Source organism: Homo sapiens, chromosome 4, assembly GCF_000001405.40.
Source record: "Homo sapiens chromosome 4, GRCh38.p14 Primary Assembly".
Taxonomy (NCBI): Eukaryota; Metazoa; Chordata; class Mammalia; order Primates; family Hominidae; genus Homo; species Homo sapiens.
In genome coordinates, this window is record NC_000004.12 from 43,233,887 (window position 1) to 43,255,326 (window position 21,440).

At 35.8% G+C, this 21,440-nt stretch overlaps 1 long non-coding RNA gene across 1 annotated transcript in view; it reads right to left on the reverse strand.

The window, feature by feature from the left end:
• Positions 1-21,440, reverse strand: part of LOC105374432 (uncharacterized) — a 59,764-nt gene that overhangs the window by 10,699 nt on the left and 27,625 nt on the right. The gene's annotated exons all lie outside the window — the stretch shown is intronic.

The window sequence follows — 21,440 nt, forward strand, 5'->3', positions numbered from 1 at the left end:
CAAAAGTTTGATAACTTAACTAGGTTGGTGAGGGTGTGCAGAAATAAGCATTTTTATGCTTTGCAGTGTAGTGCAGATTAGAAAAATTTTACACATGTATATGTATATACACACATACATACGTATGATGCATGTATAGTACTATTCATCATGGCATTGTTTATAATGGCAAAAGATTGAGAAAAACCAAAATATTTTTCAATCAGGCTTTGGTTATATAAATAATGGTATATTCCTCTCACGGAATAGTGTATAGCCAAATTTAAAAACAAATCAGAAAGTTCTTTACATACTAATCAAGTATTATGTAAAATATTAAAATATAAAGTAAAAAAGCAAGCTATAAAATCATGTTTTGGTTTTTATAATTTTGTGTGAAAAATATTTTTAATGTATATGTAATATATAAAATACATATATGTATATGTATGGTGTATGTTTATTTAAATATATGTATTTATATATACATTTAAATATTTTTAAATATGTGTGTGTATATATGTACATATACATGTATGTATTTTTATATACTTGGTAGTTGTTTACACACTCATGAAATCTCTGGAAGAATGTACAAGAGAACTGTTAACATTGGTTGCATCTGGAGAGAAGAGCTGAATAATTGGGAAAAAAGTTGGAAAATAATTTTCACTGTTTCACCTCTTTGTAACTTTTATATCATAGGAAAGTAGTATCTATTTTAAAATAAGTAAAATAAAGTGTTAGAAAAACAATAATTCTAAAATCAGCTATATTATAATAAGTTTCATTGTGTATTTGCACCTCTCTGTCAGACTAGGAGCATCTGCAATATACTCCTTATCTGTGATATACTCCTTATCTGCGATATACTGCTTATCTGCAATATACTCCTTTCACAGCTCTGGTGCCTGCCTACAATGGTGCTTAGCACAGAGCCACACTCACGCATTTCTGGAAGGAATGCAAGGCACGCTGTGGTAAGCAGGATGACACAGCCACAGTCCACTCTGCTAAAGGGATGCCGGGTCCTTGAAGAAGAAATTCTGCATTGCATTGGAAGGCTTCTGGGAAGACCTATGGTTTAACTTGGTCCATCACACAAAGAAAGAAAAGATACATGCAGTGTTTTGGAGGGAGCAAGAGGGTACTACAGAAACAAGAGGAAAGGAGGTCTTCTGGAAACTTGAGTCAACTGTGGTGCTGAGTAGGCTTATTATTAATGGAAGGAATGAGAGTGTGCAGTGAGAAGAAAAAATCAAGGATGGTCTTTGTTTTGTCAGTTTGAACAGGAAACACCAGTTGTTTATTTAGTTAGTGCAAAGGCCCTGGCAGTCACAAAAAAGCTTGATGTGGTTTAAATGATTGATAACTAATTGAATCAGGTGGTTGATGCCTACTATAATTCTTTATCACTTTGCTAACCAAGCCACCATATGTGGCTTGTGTGACAGATGCTAGATGCTTGGAATGGGGAAATGTAATTCGAAGAAACAATTTTTTAATGCTATAGTGCAGATTTAAAAGCCATTCTGTCAGCCCCTGAAGATGAAAAATGGATATATTCATCTGGTATTTTTAAATTGATGAATTTGGTTTACATTTACATTTTAAAAACACATCTTTCATATACACACAGATTAGCATTCCTAATATTGACATCTGGTGTTTATATAGTGCAGACAATCCCCACCTTACAGTTGTCACCCAAAAATTCATTTGGGAGTATGTTATTTTCCCATAGAAATAATGTTGTTAATGATGCCCTGATTATCAGGCCAGTTTACAGAAATTAATTTAAGCATCATGTACCTAAATTTCATATGGAGCATTCTTTTAACTCTATATAACTATTATTCACCATTATCTCTATGTGTGAGAAAATACGCTGCGACGACACTAAGTTAGAGTGCAGTGGCGTGATCTCGGCTCACTGCAACCTCGGCCTCCTTGGTTCTCAACGATTCTCCTGCTTCAGCCTCCCGAGTAGCTGGGACTACAGGCATGCACCACCATGCCCAGCTAATTTTTTTTTTTTTTTTGTATTTTTAGTAGAGACGGGGTTTCACCATGTTGGCCAGGATGGTCTCAATCTCTTGAACTTGTGATCCACCTACCTTGGCCTCCTGAAGGGCTGGGATTACAGGCATGAGCCACTGTCCCTGGCCCAAGGAGCAAGTTCTTAATCCTTTGTTGTTTCTACCTTTCTGCTCCTGCACATTAAATATTGTAATTTAGATACATTATACTCCAGATGTTCACGGATGAGTAATAAAAGACAGTTGCCCATGGGCTTTGACACCAGAAAACTTTTGGGTACAAATCCAACTTCTGCCACTGACCCACTACATTTTTCGATGTTAGGCAACTGCTTTGAAGCTCAGGTGCTTTATCTGTATAATGGGAATAAATCTACCTACTTTACTAGTCTTTCTGCACATTAAATGTTCCAAGATACACATAAAGTAGAGGCAGATAGTATTAAGATGTGGATGCCCCACTTAGGGTGCAAGGGTTCAAATATTTGACCTATGTGGTTCTACATGGTTGACCTTGGGCTGGTAATTTAACCTAGTGGCACTCAAACTTTGCTGCATGTTAGAATCACCTGGCAAGACTTTAAAATTCCTGCTGCACAGTCTCTACTACACATCAGTTAAATAAAATAATTCTGGGAGTAATACTCAGACACAGGAATTTTTACATCACCCTTGACAAGTGATCAAAGTCTACAGCCAAGTTTTGACTTCTGTTCATTAACTGTAAAATGGGAGAATTTATAGTTTCCATCTCTCCATGGAGTTAAAGGATTGAAAGCAATAATAATGCAAGTAAAGCATTTATGAAAGTGCCTGGCACATTCTAAGCACCTGATGCAGTTTTGCTCTAATTCTCTAGAATATAACAGTAAAATTATCCAACATATCTCTGCTTTTTAGAAAATTCAATGATTGTCTACTGCTGCAGTTCTCTTCTGGACTTCATTTGTATTCTCTGTGCCCTGGATCATTTGTCACAGTTTTCCTGTATAATAAAATTGTATTATGTGTGTAAAAAACGGACACCTGGCTTCTAAAACCAGATCTACCCCTAAAAGGCCTTGTGATATTGGGCAAGGTTTTGAGTTTGTCTGTGACAGTTTCCTCTTTGTGTTAAGTTCACCAAATGCTTGTATCCTTGAAGGGAAAGAAAGACATTGTCAGGCTCAAGGAGCCAGGATAAATAAATATCCAGGACCCTATGACCCTCCTAGCCTTTCGTGGCAGTGATTTCTGTTGTTCCCTGGAGGGAGAATGAAAAGACAGGAAAATAAACCATTTTTTCCATCTACTGCTTATCTTCTCCTATTCCAAGATTGAAGGAATGGGGATAAATTAAGTTTGCTCCTCATTTTTTAACATTAAAAATAAGTTAGGATCAGCAGAACTAGATGAGATACTAGAAATCATATAATTCAATGCCTTTGCTTTGCTGAAGAGGTAAAAGATTACCTGAGCTCATACAAGTAGTTGATAGCAGAGCCAGGACTAAAACTCAAAATTTCTTAGTCCCTTACCCAAAAGCTAACTTTTTCTTTCCATTTTACTACTGGAAAAAGATCATAGAAACAAACAACAAACACAACCCAAACGTTATCCAAAACATAAAGCCAACATGTCCTTCTGCTAAGAGGATTAACTTTATATATATCCATTGAACAAGGTATTTTACATTAGTCAATAGTAGTCAACCCAAACCCAACTTTATTTCATTTTGTTTGATAACACAGCATGGGTGAATGAGGGTTGGGTTAATGCATTTCCTAAGGCCAAACAACTAGAGAGCTCTCTATATAACTAACTATTTATTTATATTTATATTGAATGTATATATAGGCATTCACCTGGTGGAACAATTTTGAGAGTATGATGTCATTTACAGGCTCTTCTAGAAAGTAAGTTTTGTGATGAAATGGTTGGACATTGGTTATCACTTTACTTCTGTCAGATTTTAACATTAAGGCCTCTATTGGGAAGCTTGCATTAACACCAATCGATTCTCAGTCTGTGTATAATGAACATAATAAACTTTCACCAGACATTCAAAGATGTGATGGTCTTTGATCCATATTTCCCAACTATCTTTAACCAGATACCTCCTCCCTTTTTATATTTAGTCTACTATACAATGTCTCTAATAAAGATTAATCATCAGGTTGGCATCCTCAGAGCCTTGTCTCTCAGAGAACATTTGGAATAAAACTTTGACATGTACTTATAACCTATTTGAGAAGTTGTTTTTAACATATTCCTTATCACTGGGCAACCAGGTGGTTCCACCAGCGGCCCACTTTTCCTGTTTCAGAGGATTGATCTCCAAGTCAGAGATTAAACATGAGTATTTGTCCAGCCTCTCATCAGCATTTAATCTAGGAGAGGTTTAAATGGAGTTTTTCAAGTCATGTGCTTTCCAGTTAATTAACTTTGTTGAAACCTGATTTATTAGACAGACATTTCTGAGAATTAAGTGTTTTCTTCCCAAGCTTCAGCTGCAGGAGAGGCCCTGAGTCTCCTGCCACAAAAGCCCTCAGTTGTTCATAATTATAATTCACAATCATTCTTTTGTGATTTTTTTCTAATATTTTCATTGAGAAACTCAGAACAGGCAAAAGGTGAGAAAATTAAACATGGAGACTGGTAAGGAATAAGAAGCTAAAAGCTTAAGGACATTGGTTGGTTTATAGACCCTCCTTGAAAACAGTACCTTTTTGTCCCCCATCCCCCATACTCTCTCCCCTCTCAGACTTGCTTCCTTCCATCTTTCATTCAACAGATATTTGTTTGTTGCCTTTTACAGGCTTGGCAATGGACTAGGCACTACAAGGCAGCAATGAATGAAATGGATTGGTCTCCACCTCCATGGAACATTCTGCCTGGTAGGAAGACAGGCACTGAACAAGTAATTACATTTACAAAAGAAGCATAGAACAGAAGCAGCACAGCCTAGAATTAAAATTCAGGGCAGGTCTGCCTGAGAAAGGGATTTTTAAGTAAGAGACATGATGATTGAGAGGGACATAAATGGTTAGAGAGCAAGGAATGAAGCATCTGGTCACACAAGAGACTCAGAAAGTTAACCATGAAATGTCATAGTCCAGGTGAAAAAAAAGCAAATAATAGAGCCATAGAGCAGCAATGAGCTGTCTGTGTGCTTCTTATTCTTGATCTCAAAAACATATGGCCACTCCGATATAGATTTTCTGTATATGACCTACTTGGAAACTCTGAACTAGAGAGTAGGTTTGTGATATTCTAACACTACAGCTTATTCCTTTTGATAAAAGCATTCTTTTCTGGAGCAGTGTTAAAATACATTGTCTTAAGATAAATAGCTTAGATTATAATTTACTGCTGAATAGAGAAAATTATATCTAAAACTACAAATGTAAGGGTCGAAAAGAAAGGAATCACTCACTCAGGGCACCCGTTGAATGGCTATAGGAAGGTTAAAACTGTATGGAATTTGATAAAATAAGGATTACTAGAATTTTTGTTTTTATTTTGAAAAATGCTGTAAAATATGAAAAACACATAGAATATTCAAAGAAATATCATATACCACTACCCAGAACTATTACTATGTTGTCATATTTGACAACATTTTAAAATTAAATAAATTACGTATTACAAATTGAACATGAGATTTGTATCTAAGAAAGTACAGCAAGTTAAGAATCAGAGTTAAGGTTGAGCCTCAGAAGTTGAAAAGTGGAGTTCCTGATGCTGGGGAGACCTTGTCAATGCAAGATAAAGAAGAGAAGAAGGATTACAGAAAATAAAGTAGATATTTATGAGCAAGATTGGGAGTTATAAACCCAAATGCTCTCAGAAGCTAGAAAGGTCAAGTAGGTAAGTGAAGCTGGCTTGATGTAAGATGACACCGACAGGGAGGGTTGTGGCAAAGTTCAGATTATGTGGCCCTCCTAGAGAAGAGGGAGGAGGAGGAGGAGAAGGAAGAGGAAGAAGAAGAGGAAGAGGAAAAGAAAGAGGAAGAGAATAAAGAAGAGGAAGAAGGGGAGGAGAAGAAAGCAGGAGATACAAAAACAAAACAGCCTGATGCAGAGTTTAGTTCTTGATGTCTTGTTTGTGATCTCTGATCAAGACAGAGAATGGAGGAAAGTGGAAGAAGGTGGGCACAAGCAGAAGCTGCAGGCAGGGTGCTAATGGCAGTCCTGATTCATGCACGCCCCAGGCTGGCTCTCTTTGCATCCTTATCTGAGCTTAAAGACCAGATACCATGAGAAGAATCTGAGTTGTCATCAGACAGTGGCGTCTTGGTTGGTGTGGCTCTTTCAGGTCACTGACCATGCTACTTCTACCTGAGAACCGGGCCTTCCAGGAATGGGTCAACAGCATCATTAAACTGTGAAGGTCAAGAAAAATGTTCAAAGTCCAGAGAATTACCAAAGAAGGGAAAATCTGAAAAGTTTCTTATTGGTAGGATTAGGGATAACCTGCAGTGCTGGCTTACTAGATATCTGAAAATGTGGACCAGGAAGGAGAAGGAAGGAGAGAAGCAGAGGAAAGAGGTGAAGGACAGGAAAGGCAGAAAGAACTAACCCAAATGTGAAAGGGATCCCAAAGCAAAGTTCTGCTCTTTAACATTACCTAAGCTATGGGTCTTTGTGAAGAAAGATCACTGGACATTTTGTCAAAATGCCTGGGCTTGTATTCTGGGCCCTGCTGCTACTAAGATATGTGTTCTTGAGCTAATTACTTCAACTCTCTGAGACTCAGTTTTTCCTTTTACCTAAAAGTGGCATAATAAACATCTCATGGATTTCATGAAAATCCATTAATACAATGTATATGAAATAGTCTATAAATAGTATCATGTTATAAAAGAATGTAGTATCATTATACTCTACTAAACATAAATATCATTTCTATGTATATTCAATTCAATACATATAAATATAAATATCAATTAAATATATACATATATATAATATATATATGTATATATTCTTGGGGACTAGGCACACAAGCTGCCTAGGCAGAGAGAAAACCAATTTTTGTTAGCATCTCCTGATGTACCATTTGTGTGGTACATACAAAGCAAACACTTTTAGTGTTGTGGTTCCAGTGGAATCTTTCATAACCATAGCAAGAAACATTTGTATGATCACCATAAGGCCATATATTCAGATCCTCGGTAGTTTAGAATTGGAAAATTGAATGCTAGGGATTAATGAGACTCTGCTAGGAGCCTTTGTTGATCATAAATTTTTCTTCAACATTTACAATTACTTTAATTGCTAGAACTCAGATATTTAGTATAAAAAATAATCCATGCTAAACTGAAGTATGGCAGTTGTAATTTTTTCCCCCTAGAATGTAATTGTCTGTCTGCCTGCTCCATCATCTGGCTGCTTCTGCATGATGCTTCACTGTCATCTTAATTGTTTGTGCCAGTTGAAAATACCTTTTCCTCTTACCTGTCAGGAAGCCTACATTTCTACATTTACAGATTTATTTCTCAGGAATCTTTGGTTAGAATGTAAAATTCTTTGCAAGTGAAGGAGAGTCATATATCAGGGTTGTATAAATTGTTAAAACATTGATGTGAATTTTGTTCATAGTATACATTAAACTACTCAGCAATCAGTTATGTACAATAGGTTTGATAAACTGGATCATTTTGCCCTCTTCTGGATCTTACTCCCTAAATATCTCTTAAATCTCCCTGAATCTTTTCATCCTCACCATTCTTGTGTTCTTTCATCTGAGTAATACCCTTCTAATTAGGCTTCTAGTCTGGAGTCCAGTGTTCTCAAACTCTAGTGTGGGTAAGAATTATCTTGGGGTGCTTGTTAAAGTATTCGGGGTCTCTGATCCTACTTTCAGAAATACTGACTTATCCAATATGGGGCTTGGGTCTGGGAATTTGCATTTTAAAAAGTTTCCAAATGATTATGATGCAGGTGGTTCATGGATCATACCCTGAGAAACACTTTCTTGATTGTCTAATCTAAAATACCCGTTCCACGCTAGCATGGTGGTGTGTGTCTGTAGTTTCAGACACTGGGGAGGCTGATGTGGGAGGATAACTGGAGTCCAGCTTTGGCAACACAGGGAGAGAGACCCTGTTCCAAAAAAAAAAAAAAAAAAAAAAAGAAGAATTAAAGTAGCACATCCCCCTCCAACCCTTGCCAAAGTTAGCCTTATTACATCACCTTGATTTTCTCCCAGAAAGCACTCATGAGGCCTTCCTTCTACCATTAGTAGAAGGAAGTATACCATAGTATAAATAATTAATTTATGAAGTATACCATAGTACACATAATTTAATGTGTACTAAATTGAACACATTAAATTATGAACAAAATTCACATCAAGGTTTTTTTTTTTTTTTTTTTTTTTGAGACAGAGTCTTGCTCTGTTGCCCAGGCTGGAGTGCAGTGGTGTGATCTTGGCTCACTGCAAGCTCCACCTCCCGGGTTCACGCCATTCTCCTGCCTCAGCCTCCTGAGTAGCTGGGACTACAGGGGCCTGCCACCACGCCTGGCTAATATTTTTTATTTTTAGTAAAGACAGATTTTCATCGTGTTAGCCAGGATGGTCTCGATCTCCTGACCTCATGATCCACCCACCTCGGCCACATCAAGGTTTTAACATTAGAATATAAGTTCTCTGAGGGCAGGGCCTTGTCTGCCCTGTTCACCTCTGTATCTGTACCACCTAGTCTTAGGGCCTGCCTACAATGGTACTTAATAAGTATTTTAATGAATGAGTGGATGCTTGAATAGATTGCTTAGGCATTGGTCCTAGTCTTCAGTACACTTTTCTCACTTTTTAATTTTCAGAATGGCATTTCTGATCTTATCATTCTCTTCCTTAAAATTTCTGTGGTCTCTGGCTCACTTACAGGAGGAATGTAAACTCCTTCACACAAAAGACTTGCACAATCTCACCCCAAACTTTCTTACAGACTCATTTAGAACTACTATCCCAGTATCCTCTCTTTTTAGCTAACTCATTCCTCAAAAGTTAGCAGATTTTATTTCACACGTCCATGCTTCAGCTCATGCTGTTTTCTTGCCTGGAATGTCCTTCCTCCTTTTCTGCTCTCCCAACCCGTTTGAATTCTTGTTCTTCTAAATTTTAATAAATGTAACTTTCTCTGTGAGGTCTTTTTTAGTTCTTCCAGTTATTTGTTTGTTATTGGTGGTCCCACCTCACCCTTTGCCTGCATTTTAGGCATTTCCTATGTTACTTTGTGTCTCTCTTCTTTGAATCCCAGGGGTTTAGGACAGTGTCTCTCATGTGGTAAATATTTAATAAATAATCCTTAAGAAATTTATAAAAATGTACTTTTTTCCAGAATTGAGAATGGTGCTAGGAAGTGTCAGACAACTTATTCTCCAATATCAAACCTCATTTTTAATCTTGGCTGTAATGATATCAGAAGGAGTAAGTCAAGAGAGGGCCTTAGAGTGCCCTGAATTCCTTGGACAAATACATTTCTTTTCCTTACTTGGCTCAATGCCTGAAATTTTCAGCAATAAATATCTTTTTTCCTTAATGGCATCAAAGATTTTTTTAAACAGTAAGTGTAATACTGGGAGTTTTGTTCTGTGATTTGGCCAGTTGGGGGCTGAGAAAGATAAACTCTAAAGGGAGAAGGAAAACATAATAGCTAAGGATTTATGAGGGCACTGAAATGGCAGATCCAGCTCAGTCCATGTAATATGGTGAAGGAACTAGGTCTCTCAAGAGTATGGGCAAAGTTCCAGTGTGACTTTTATTACGTAATATCCATTAAAATTCATTCAATCATTAATTTATCCATCTGCGTATTAATTTTTCTATTTTTAAACTAATTGTCCACTAGACTAGGAGAGGGACCAACAAAAGAAGATAATAAATGTATCAGAACACAGGTATGCTCAGAAGTAGAGGCACTGCGTACCCCTGATGGTGGGGTATAGAGAGTTTGTTTAACAGAGTTTTACACCTAAGTTTTTAGTGAGACACAATGATATCGTAGATGTGAAATTTCAGAACAAGGTTTCAGATCATCAAGGGCAGCATTGTTAACAAAAGAAATAGAGGAACTTGTTCCATGTATCTTGGTTTCATCACTTATTTGTGAAATCTCCCCCCAAAAATGTTTAGAGAGTGGAGAACAAATCACTTCACTCCAAAGCTGGTTAATAAAACTTTGATTTATTCTCCACTCTCTCAACATTTTTGGGGGGGGGGGTGGATTTCTTACCAGTTTCTTAGGAGAGAGGTTTTAAAATTCCTCTTTTTTTTCTTCAAATCTAGTGAAGAAGGCTTCCTTTGGACCACTTAGAGATATTAAAATGTGTTCTCTGTACTGGGAGGAGGGGAAACATACTGAGGTCTGATTCATGCTTGAGGAAGGTAGTAGAATGCAGGTTACCGTGTACTTCCTGGATTTGCTAGGGCAAGGTGAGAGAGCTATCTGGAAGCTCTTTAATCCTAACCCAAGAGGTCTTCTGCTTCTGGACAAGTGGATCCCAAGAGTAATGTCTCTGTGGGGTAACAACCTCTGGAAAATCAGAGTTTGAGGGAACATTTCTATTTCCATCTAAAGGAAAACATGCATTTCCCATGTCAAGGAGCTACAGGAAGTTCCTAACGCATGGAAATTTCCCAGGATCCCACACAGATACCAAGGAAAGAGTGAGCCTTAAACAGCTGTCATCTAGAGCACCCTAACTCAGATAGTAATGTCACTCTGTGAAAACTTGTCTTTTCCCCCAATCTCTAACATGAGAGTGGAGAGAAGCTTACATAAGCAGACTGGAGGGAGGTGAAAAAGTGGGGATGGATAAAAGAAAAACTGACCACATACTCATTCCTGGTTTTGTTTGTTGGAGACCCCAGGCTGGGGAAGGGAACAAGATTTGCCACTAAATTAAAATGTAGGACTTGAAGATTGTTCAAGATAGAGCATGTTGATTAATTACAAATTAAGTCTGTGTTTGTGAGTTACAGGGGACTGTGAGTCTAAGGGCAACCCCAGTGTGTAGGTCAAATGGAAATTTCCATCTCAGGGCAAGGAAAGTAGTGTTGAATATAACTTAAAGTTGCTGCAGGAGATAAAATAAGTAAGCCAATAAGTAAAAATAAAATTAAACAAACAACAACAACAAAAAAACAAATTAAATGCATCATGCTTTGATTCTGTCACAAGTTCTGCTTATGTAACATCTACACTATAAGCACAGTTAGATGCTCAGAAACCTGCCAGCAGACGAGGGAGTTTTTGCTACCCTGTGGGAAATGAGAATTTTACTCTCTGAAGAGTGAAACCAGACTTTGGGTTTCAGATCTCAGGCAGAGCTAAAGGCAGAAGTTAGTTGCCATAGTGATAACAACAGGATTATGTGAAAGTCTGAATATTGAAGGGCAAATTCTCCTTCCCCTGCCCCACTCAGTTCATAAAATTCTGGAATCCTCCAGGGATAAGAGTGTAAGACTTATCTTTGGAGAAAATGCACAGATCAAACAGTGTGATATGCACATAATAGTACAGTGGTATTATTTTTAATGAAGCCCAACACTTAGCTCTGATTCTCCTCTCCATGCACACCAAACTTCCATTGATATTTTTCGTGCTGTTAAATAAAAACAGAAATCCATGAATCATCCAAGAAAATGTCAATTGTGAAAGATGGTGACCAAAGTTAATTAGGAGGAAATAGAGACAATACAGGAAAAAAGGGAAGAAAACTGAAAGGAAAAAGAAACATAGTTAATAACTCAGAAAGATAAAAGATGTTACAAAAAAGAGAAAAATGAAAAAGAATGTAATAAGAATCATGGAACAAGTAAATATCTTGGAAGTTTAAAAGTCATTACATGGTGCTGGTATAGCAGACAGAAGAATGAATCTGGACCTGTACCTTTCACCATATGCAAATATTAATGCAAGATGGATTAGGAATCTTTTTCAAATGTTAATTTTTGGGGGTATATAGTTGATGTATCTATTTATGCGATACATGAGAAATTTTGATACAGGTATACAATGTGTAGTAATCATGTCAGGTGGATGTCAATCACCTCAAGTATTTATCATTTCATTTCATTGTGTTATGAACATTCCAATTATACTTTTTAAGATATTTTATAATGTAGAGTAAATTATTGTTGACTGTAGTCACCCTGTTGTGCTATCAAACGTTAGATCTTATTCATCCTATCTAATTATACTTTTGTATCCATTAGCCCTCTGCACTACCCCATCCCCACTAGCTTTTCCACCAAATGAGAACATGTGAAGTTTGTCTTTCTGTGCCCGGCTTATTTCATTTAATATAATATCCTTTAGTTCCATTCATGTTGCTGCAAATGACAATATTTTATTCTTTTTTATAGCTAGATAGGACTTCATTGTGTATATGTACCACATATTCTTTTTTTTTTTTTGAAACGGAGTCTCACTCTGTCACCCAGGCTGGAGTGCAGTGGCGCCATCTCGGCTCACTGCAAGCTCTGCCTCCAGGGTTCACGCCATTCTCCTGCCTCAGCCTCCCTAGTAGCTGCGACTACAGGCACCCGCCACCACGCCCGGCTAATTTTTTGTATTTTTAGTAGAGAACGGGTTTCACCGTGTTAGCCAGGATGATCTCGATCTCCTGACCTCATGATCCACCCGCCTCGTCTTCCCAAAGTGCTGGGATTACAGACGTGAGCCACCGCGCCCAGCCCGTACCACGTATTCTTTATCTGCTTGTTTGTTAATGGACACTTAGTTTGCTTCAAATTTGGCTATGTGAATACTGCTGCAATAACATAGGAGTGAAGATACCACTTCAATACATTGATTTCCTTTCTTCTGAATATATACTCAGCAGTGAGATTGCTGGATCATCTGATAGTTCTAATTTTAGTTTTTTGAGGAACCTCCAAAGTGTTCTCCCCATGGATTGTACCAATTCACATTCCCACCAACAGTGTTTGAGGGTTCCCTTTCCTCCATATCCTTGCCAGAATTTGTTACTGCATGTCTTTTGGATAAAAGCCATTTTGACTGGGGTGAGATGTAGTTTTGATTTGCTTTTCTCTGATGACCAGTGATGTTGAGCATATTTTCATATGCCTGTTTGGCATTTCTGTGTCTTCTTTTGAGAATGTCTATTAGATCTTTTGCCTATTTTTTAATTGAATTGTTAGATTTTTTTCCCTGTAGAGTTGTATGAGCTCTTTATATATTCTGGTAACAAATCTCTTGTCAGATGGATAGTTTGCAAATATTTTCCACCATTTTGTGGAGTGTTTGTTGATTGTTTCCTTAGCTGTACAGAAGCTTTTTGACCAGGTGTGATCTCATTTGTCCATTTTTTCTTTGGTTGCCTGTGACTTGGGATATTGCTCAATAAATCTTTGCCCAAACCAATGTCCTAGAGAGTTCCCCTAACATTTCTTTCAGTAGTTTCATTTTGATTTGACTTTTGTATATGGCAAGAAATAGGGGTGTAGAATCATTCTAGACCCCTGAGTATGGTTATCAAGTTTTCTCATTTATTTATGGGACTGTCCTTTCCCCAATGTATGTTTTTGGCACATTTGTCAAAAATGAGTTCACAGTAGATGTGTGGATTTATTTCTGAGTTATCTATGCTGTTGCATTGGTCTATGTCTCAGTTTTTATGCCAGTATCACGCTGGTTTTCATTACTATAGCTTTGTGATATAATTTGAAGTCAGGTAATGTGATTCCTCCAGTTTTGTTCTTTTTGCTCAGGGTGGCTTTGGCTGTTCAGGATCTTTTGTGATTCCATACACATATAAGCATTATTTTTTATATTTCTGCAAAGAATATTCATTGGTATTTTGATAAAGATTGCACTGAATCTGTAAATTGATTTGTGTAGTATGGACATTTTAACAATATTAATTTTTCCAAACCATGAACATGAAATGTCTTTCCATTTTTTGGTGCCCTCTTCAATTATTTTGCATCAACTTTTTATGGTTTTCATTGTAGATATCTTTCACTTCCTTCATTAAGTTTATTCCTAGTTATTTTATTATATTTGTATCTATTGTAAAATGGGATTACTTTCTTAATTTCTTTTTCATATTGTTTGCAGTTGGCTTATAGAAATGACACTAATTTTATATGTTGATTTTTCTGTCGTGCAACTTTACTGAATTTGTGTCAGTTATAATAGTTTGTTTTACCGAAGTCTTTAGATTTTTCCGAATATAGATAATCATCTGCAAACAAGGTAATTTAATTTCTTCCATTCTAATTTGGATGCCTTGCTTCTAATTTTGCTGCTTTCTCTATCTAGGACTTTGAGTACTATGTTGAGTAACAGTGGTGAAAGTGAGTATACTTGTCTTGTTCTAGATCTTAGAAGAAAGGCTTCCTGTTTATACCTGTTCAGTATTATACTAGCTGTAGATCTGTTGTATATGTAGATCTATTGTATTGAGGTGTGTTCCTTCTATCAGTTTTTTTGAGGGTTTTTTATCATGAAGGGAAGCTGAATTTTATCAAATGTTTTTTCAGCATCAATTAAAATGATCATATGCTTTTTTTCCTTCATTCTGTTGATAAGATGTATCACATTAATTAATTTGCATGTGTTGAATCATCTTTGCATTCTTTGGATAAATCATATTTGCTCATGATGAACAGTCTTTTCAATGGGTTGTTGAATTTGGTTTGTTAGCATTTCGTTGAGGATTTTTGCATCAATGTTCATCAGGGATATTGGCCTGTAAGTTTCTTTTTTTGATGTGTCTTTTTCTGGTTTTGGTTATCAGGGTAATATTGGCCTCCTAGGATGAGTTTGAAAATATTCCCTCCTCTATTTTTCAAAATAGTTAGTGTAGGCTGGCATTAGTTCTTCTTTGTCTGGTAGAATTCAGCAGTGAAGCCATTGGGACCTGGGTTTTTCCTTGTTGGGATATTTTCTATTGTGACTTTTATCTCATTAATAGCTATTGGTCTATTCAGGTTTTGGATTTCTTCATGGTTCAAACCTGGTAGGTTTTATATTTCTAGGAATTCATTTCTTCTACATTTTCTAATTAATTTGCATATAGTTGCTGATATTAACTTCTAATGATCATTTGAATTTCTTCAGTAACAATTGTTACTGAGTACTGAGCACACCACAATTACAGTGTTAAAATATTTTGAATTTTTTGTGTTCTTACTATTACCAGTGAGTTTTGTATGCTCTGATAATTTCTTAATGCTAATTAACACCCTTCTCTTTCAGATTGAAAAACTCCTGTTAGCATTTCTTACAGGACAGGTCTGGTATTAATGAAATCTCTCAGCAATTTTTTTCCTCTGGATCTTTGTTTTAGATAAAAGGTTTTTGCCTTCTGCACATTAAATATGTCATGCCACTCTCTCTTGGCCTATAATGTTCCCACTGAGAAGTCTACTGCCTGCTCTATGGAAGCTCCTTTTCATATTATTTGCTTATTTTCTCTTGATTCTTCTAGGATCCTTTTTTTATCCTTGACCTTTGGGGGTTTAATTATTAAATTTCTTGAGGTAGTTTTCTTTGGCTTAAGTCTGATTGGTGTTCTGTAACTTTCTTGTACTTCAATATTGGTATCTTTATCTAGGTTTGGGAAGTTCTCTATTATTATCCCTTTGGATGAACGTTCTACCCCATCTCTCTCTCTACCTCCTGTTTTAGGCCAAAACTTAGATTTGCACTTTTGTGGTTATCTTCTAGATCTTGTAGGCATAATTTATTCTTTATGGATTAAAGATTTAAATGTAAGACTTCAAACTGTAAGAATTGTAAAAGACAATCTAGGAACACTATTCTGGACATTGGCCTGGGGAAATAATTTATGACTAACTCTTCAAAATCAATTGCAACAAAATCAAAATTGACAAGTCGGACCAAATTAAACTAAAGATCTTCTACATAGCAAAAGAAAATATCAATAACCTGACAACCTACAGAATTGGAGAAAATATTTGCAAACTATGCATCTGACAAAGGTCAAACATTCAGAATCTATAAGAAACTTAAAAATTCAACAAGCAAAAAAACAAATAGCCCCATTAGAAAGCAGGCAAAAGACATGAACAGAAACTTCTCAAAAGAAGATATACAAACTGATTACAAAGATATGAAAAAATGCTCAACATCACTAATCATCAGAGAAATGCAATTTAAAACCACAATGTGATGCCATCTCACATCAGTCAAAAGAGCTACTATTGAAACAAAACAAAACAAAACAAAACAAAAAACCCAGCAGTTGTTGGTGAGGTTGCAGAGAGAAGGGAAAGCTTATAACCTGTTTATAGGAATGTAAATCAGTTAAGCTCCTGGAAAAACAGTTAGGATATTTTTTCAAAGACATTAAAACAGAACTACCATTCAATTCAGCATTCCAATTACTATGTATATATCCAAAATAATATAAATTATTTCACTAAAAAGACACATGTTCATCACAGTGGTATTCATACATATGTTCATTGCAGTGGTATTCACAATAGCAAAGACCTGAATCAAGCCTGGTGCCCATCAACGATGATTGGAATAATGTAAATGTGGTACATATGCATCATGGAATACTACACAGCCATAGAAAAGAATAAAATCATGTCCTTTGCAGCAACATAGATGGATCTGGAGGCCATTATCCTAAACAAGTTAATGGAGGAACAGAAAACCAAATACCACATGTTCTCACTTATAAATGGAGCGGTACATTGGGGAGCAGTGGACATAAAGATGACAACAATAGACACTAGGGACTACTAGAGACAGGTGGGAGAAAGAAAGGCAAGGGTTGAAAAGACACCTATTGGGCACTATGTTTACTACTTGGGCAACAGGATCATGGGATCTAAAGAAGAAGAAAAGTATGGATTGTGATGGCATAAATGAAAAATTCATAGAAGGTTTAGAAAATAAGTAGAAAAAAAACACCCAGAAATAAAAATGTAAAATAAAATAAGAAGCAAAATTAGAGAAAAGGGCATTTCAACAGCAGAGTAACAGAAATTCCAGAAAGAAAGAAAGATAGCATTAAAATAAAATACAGAGAATGATTAAACAAATAGTTGAAGAAAATTTCCTAGTACTGAAAATATGAAAATTTAGATTGAGAAGTCTCACTGATTGCTAAACACCGTAAGAACCAAGTACACAGACAGTCAGATCATTATGAAAATTCAGACATGTTGGATAAAGAGAAAATATTAAAAGCCTTCCTCTAAAAATACATAATAATGTTTCCTTCTCAAGAAGCTATAGGAGTGTATACTCCAACAAAATAAAGGAGAAATCCAAGATGGGAGAAGAACTATAAAAGAGGTGAAAAGAATTCCCAGTGTGGTAATGAACAGAATACACAGCAGTTATCTTCAATACATGGCCCGCTTTTGTCCCACTTTAGCAACAAATCTCGATGGTAATAGTCCTATGATACATCTATAAAAATATTTAGAGGATACTTTTAGTTGCAATTCTACAAAGATTCTTAAAAACAAGACAAATTTCATTCTATTCAATGGGAACTTTACTGTTGAGTATACAGTTAAACATAATTGTGAAAATATAATTTATTCTTAGCCAAAAATAACTTTTCTCTTTTGTGCTACTTGGGTGTTATAGCTTTTATATAGGTGACCCCACATTATAACAAATCTCCTACTAGATTAAAAAATTAAATGGCTTAAAAACTTTTTATATTTATCATCCACTTCTCACATCTTAGCAGTATCACTGACAACATTTTGCATCTGCCTTTCTCAAGGATCTACCTTATTTTAACCCATGACATGGCTAAGCTGTTACTACCTTCTCTGAAAGCTTCCAAAGACTTCATAGTCCGAGACAGATAAGGTAGTGAAACCTGTAAATATTCATATTCTATAAGAAGTTTTACCGTTAAATGACAGGAACAATATAAATTCATTTAGTAGTTAGTATCTACATAAAGTTTTCAATTCAATAGTTGATGAGTACATACCAATGTGTCTGGCACTACTGAAAAACTATCATAGAGTCAAAGCTATGTAAACACCACTTTCAGACCTCGGTGAATTCCTTTTGGAGATGAAATGCATAAACATGAAAAAGAATGTAAGATATTGTATCTAAATGTGTGGTACAGACTATGGATGAAGCAAGAGACTAATGGCTGTTAAGAAGCAAGTGACTAATGGCTGTTTCTATAAAAGAGTGATGGCTTTGCCCCTATTACAAAATGATATTGATTTTAGCTGGCAGTACAGTTCACAGATTGGAAGTCAGCCAGCAGTTGAACTCATGCAGAGAACCATATGTCAAAACTAGACTTCTGTGCAAGTAATGCGGAGTTTGTCCTTAGTGAAACCTCTGTCACAGGCAAATACCTTAAAGATAATCCCAGGGTTCAAAAGTCCTTTTAAGTCTTAGTAGATATGAACAAAAGGTTGACAGAAATGAATTTTGAGTGTCCAACAACATTGTCTTACCAATTTGCCTTGTGAAACGTGATTAGACACTCCAAGTTTCCATAAAATAAACTAAGATGACAAATCTTCTTATATAATGAGATTACCTTACTTTTGTTTAAGGAATATATGTTCTGGTGTGTAGAATGTAGAATGATCCTTAGGATAATAAGAAGGTATAATTTTACTTTAGGGGCTTTTGCTGAATGTCAGCTTATGCATAGAGTTTAAAAATTATAAAGAAGAGGAGGAATTTATCCTATCAGTGCGATGGAAAATTCATTGTTAGGGATTTGGAATTTTAAAAATGTACCTGAAAGATGTTTAATATCCCTAACAACTATTAAGACTTTTATCTGCCCTCAAGGGAAATACTGTAGATTTTCATTCATATTAAAATGAAATGTAGACATTTAACTGACACTGCCTGAAGTTAACTTTGGTTTCATGACTCTACCAACTTATGTGGTTGGTGTGTTTCTTAGATTCTCCAAAGCGGATTTCAGAGTACAGTTAATTCACACTCATGCATCTCATCAACAGCAAGTACGTTATATGAGATACCATGGGCTATGGTTGGGCTGGCTGACATTTCTTCTGAACTTCTCTTGTTTGTTTCTCTCTGAGCTAAGAATATATATAGGAGAAAAATGTTCAATATAAGGAAATACAAGAAAGATGTGTAGATGTAGCAAGTAACAATTTTCCTTCTACTTCTGTTTACAGAGATTTTTTGAAATGTTTCTTAAAGTGGAAGAAAAATGTCATGTTTTTATTTTACTAGTTCTGTGAAACCCAAATAAAAACCCTAAGATTCTTGCATTTTTTAAATTAAATTTTCAACCCAGCCTACCAAGTCACTGAAGTGGATTAAATATCATTCCCTCAGTGAATGTGGAACAGTTGGTATACATTCAGAGGCTTTCTTGGAAGCAGTATAATAAACTGCTTGTAAATGACTTTATAAAGAGTTTAAGACAGTAACACTATGTCTTCACTTTTTATTTAACATCATTAGTTTTTATATGTTTAAAATAAATCTCATTTAAAACATTTCCAATGATCTATTTAAATTATTTGAAAGAACATGAAGATATAGGGTGTAATGTAATGAGACATTGGAAAATAATTACTAAAATGTGAGAAAGCTAATTCTCTTTTGAATTTATTTGGATTGTAGTTAAGCCACATTCCAATATCTTTATGGGAATAGGATACAGTGCAATTGAGAAAGAGGGTAACTTGAATAAAAACAAATTACTTGGGGGCCCTGCATGATCTTTCTTGATCTGCACAATCAATGTAACCACATCATCCAACTCAAGAGTGTTTCCCACTGTGCAGAGCTTGTGTGAGGCACTCTCAAAGCATATGGTCAAGAGGTATGATGTCCAGAGTGAAGCAGTGACCCAGATAGCTACTGGCTTCTGAGAACTCAAAACAAATCCATCACCAGACACTGGGCTTATGGAAATGGTTTTAAAAATACTTGGAAAAAAGTCACAAGCTGTTCACTGAAAGAGCCCTAAGCACAGTTTGATTTCTATGAGCATTTATGAAAAGTAACAAATGAGAGTTTCAAATGGAGAAGTGTCTGAATACTTGTTGCTAAGTTAGGAAAAAACTCTCTTACTCTTTATCTAAAATAGTGAAAAAGAACATTTGGAATCATTCCATCATACGACTTTATAAATTTTGTTTGCCATGTAAAGAAGCTATATTTAATAATAACAATAATACATAGGGAGAAGTGAGGCTTGACTTCTCCATTTTCTATGCTGATGAAATTATTTAAAAAGATAAACTTCATTTTGAATATGCAACTGATAATTACCAATATGTAAATAAAATGTTCAGGGTGTGATCGATTATAGTTATGCAGGGAGGTTTGCTTTCTAGAAAAGGATCTCAAAAGCATGCATTTTTATTATTATCATTAGATAAATATTGTTCATGGTTGAAACAAATCTTATGTTCATTATGATAATCCTTCTTGAACTCTTCTCCCCCAGGAGTTAGTTTAAATATTTTACCATATTTCATAATTTTGGTTGAACATCTAAGTTTTATTATGCTCACCAATGAGTCCATGAAATATCAGTCCCTGTAATTTCACACATGTTCTAACATGTCATATAGTTAATTGCTTATTTCTGAAAAAAAAAATTATCTTGGAGCCTTCCAAGTTGCTGCTCACTCTGAAACATTTTACTCTATACAGCCTTTGTTTGGGGCATCTAACTTTCTACTTTGAAGAGAGCTTGTTACTTTCCTTATCTCATTTTTTCTGGAGACTGTCCTCTACTAATGTCCTAAAGAATGTAGATGGGGAGCACAGTTTTAAGGACTTTGAAAATTTGAAAACATCACAATTCTACCTACATCTTTGACTAATGACGAAGGTTTGTGTAAAAATTTAAATAGATAATTATTGTTCTTTAAATACTGTAGGAATTTCTCCTTTGTTTACTTAATTCAGGAGTTGCATTAAGAAGCCTCACGCAATTTTTGTATTCCATTCTTGTATTTCTTGTAGATGACCTATTTATTTACTCTGGAAAGTTTTAGAATACTTTATTTATTGCTGGTGTTCTGAAATTTCAGAATGTGCTCCAGTATGAAACTTTTTTATTCAGTGGGTTGTGTTCTGAAAATGTTGTGGCTTTTTCATGTTCCCATAGTTCGGCGACGGGGAAGGAGTGGTGTTCAGTGGCTTTTTCACTCCCATAGTGTAGTGGGTGGGAGAGAGTGTTACAAGTCCTTTTACTCCCACTGCCCGCAGCTCAGTGATCGGGGGTGTTACAACTCTTTTTGTGCCCACAGTTTGGAGAGTTCCAGATTATCGTCCTGTAACAAAGAGGAATGAGGTTCGTGGACACCAGAGAGTGAGCTAGGAAGAGTAGAATTCTATTGAGCAATAGAAAGCTCTCAGCACAGAGAGGTAACCCAAAAGCAGTTGCCATTTGTGAGTCTGTCTGAGTCCAGAGTATTTATGGGCTTAGAATGGGA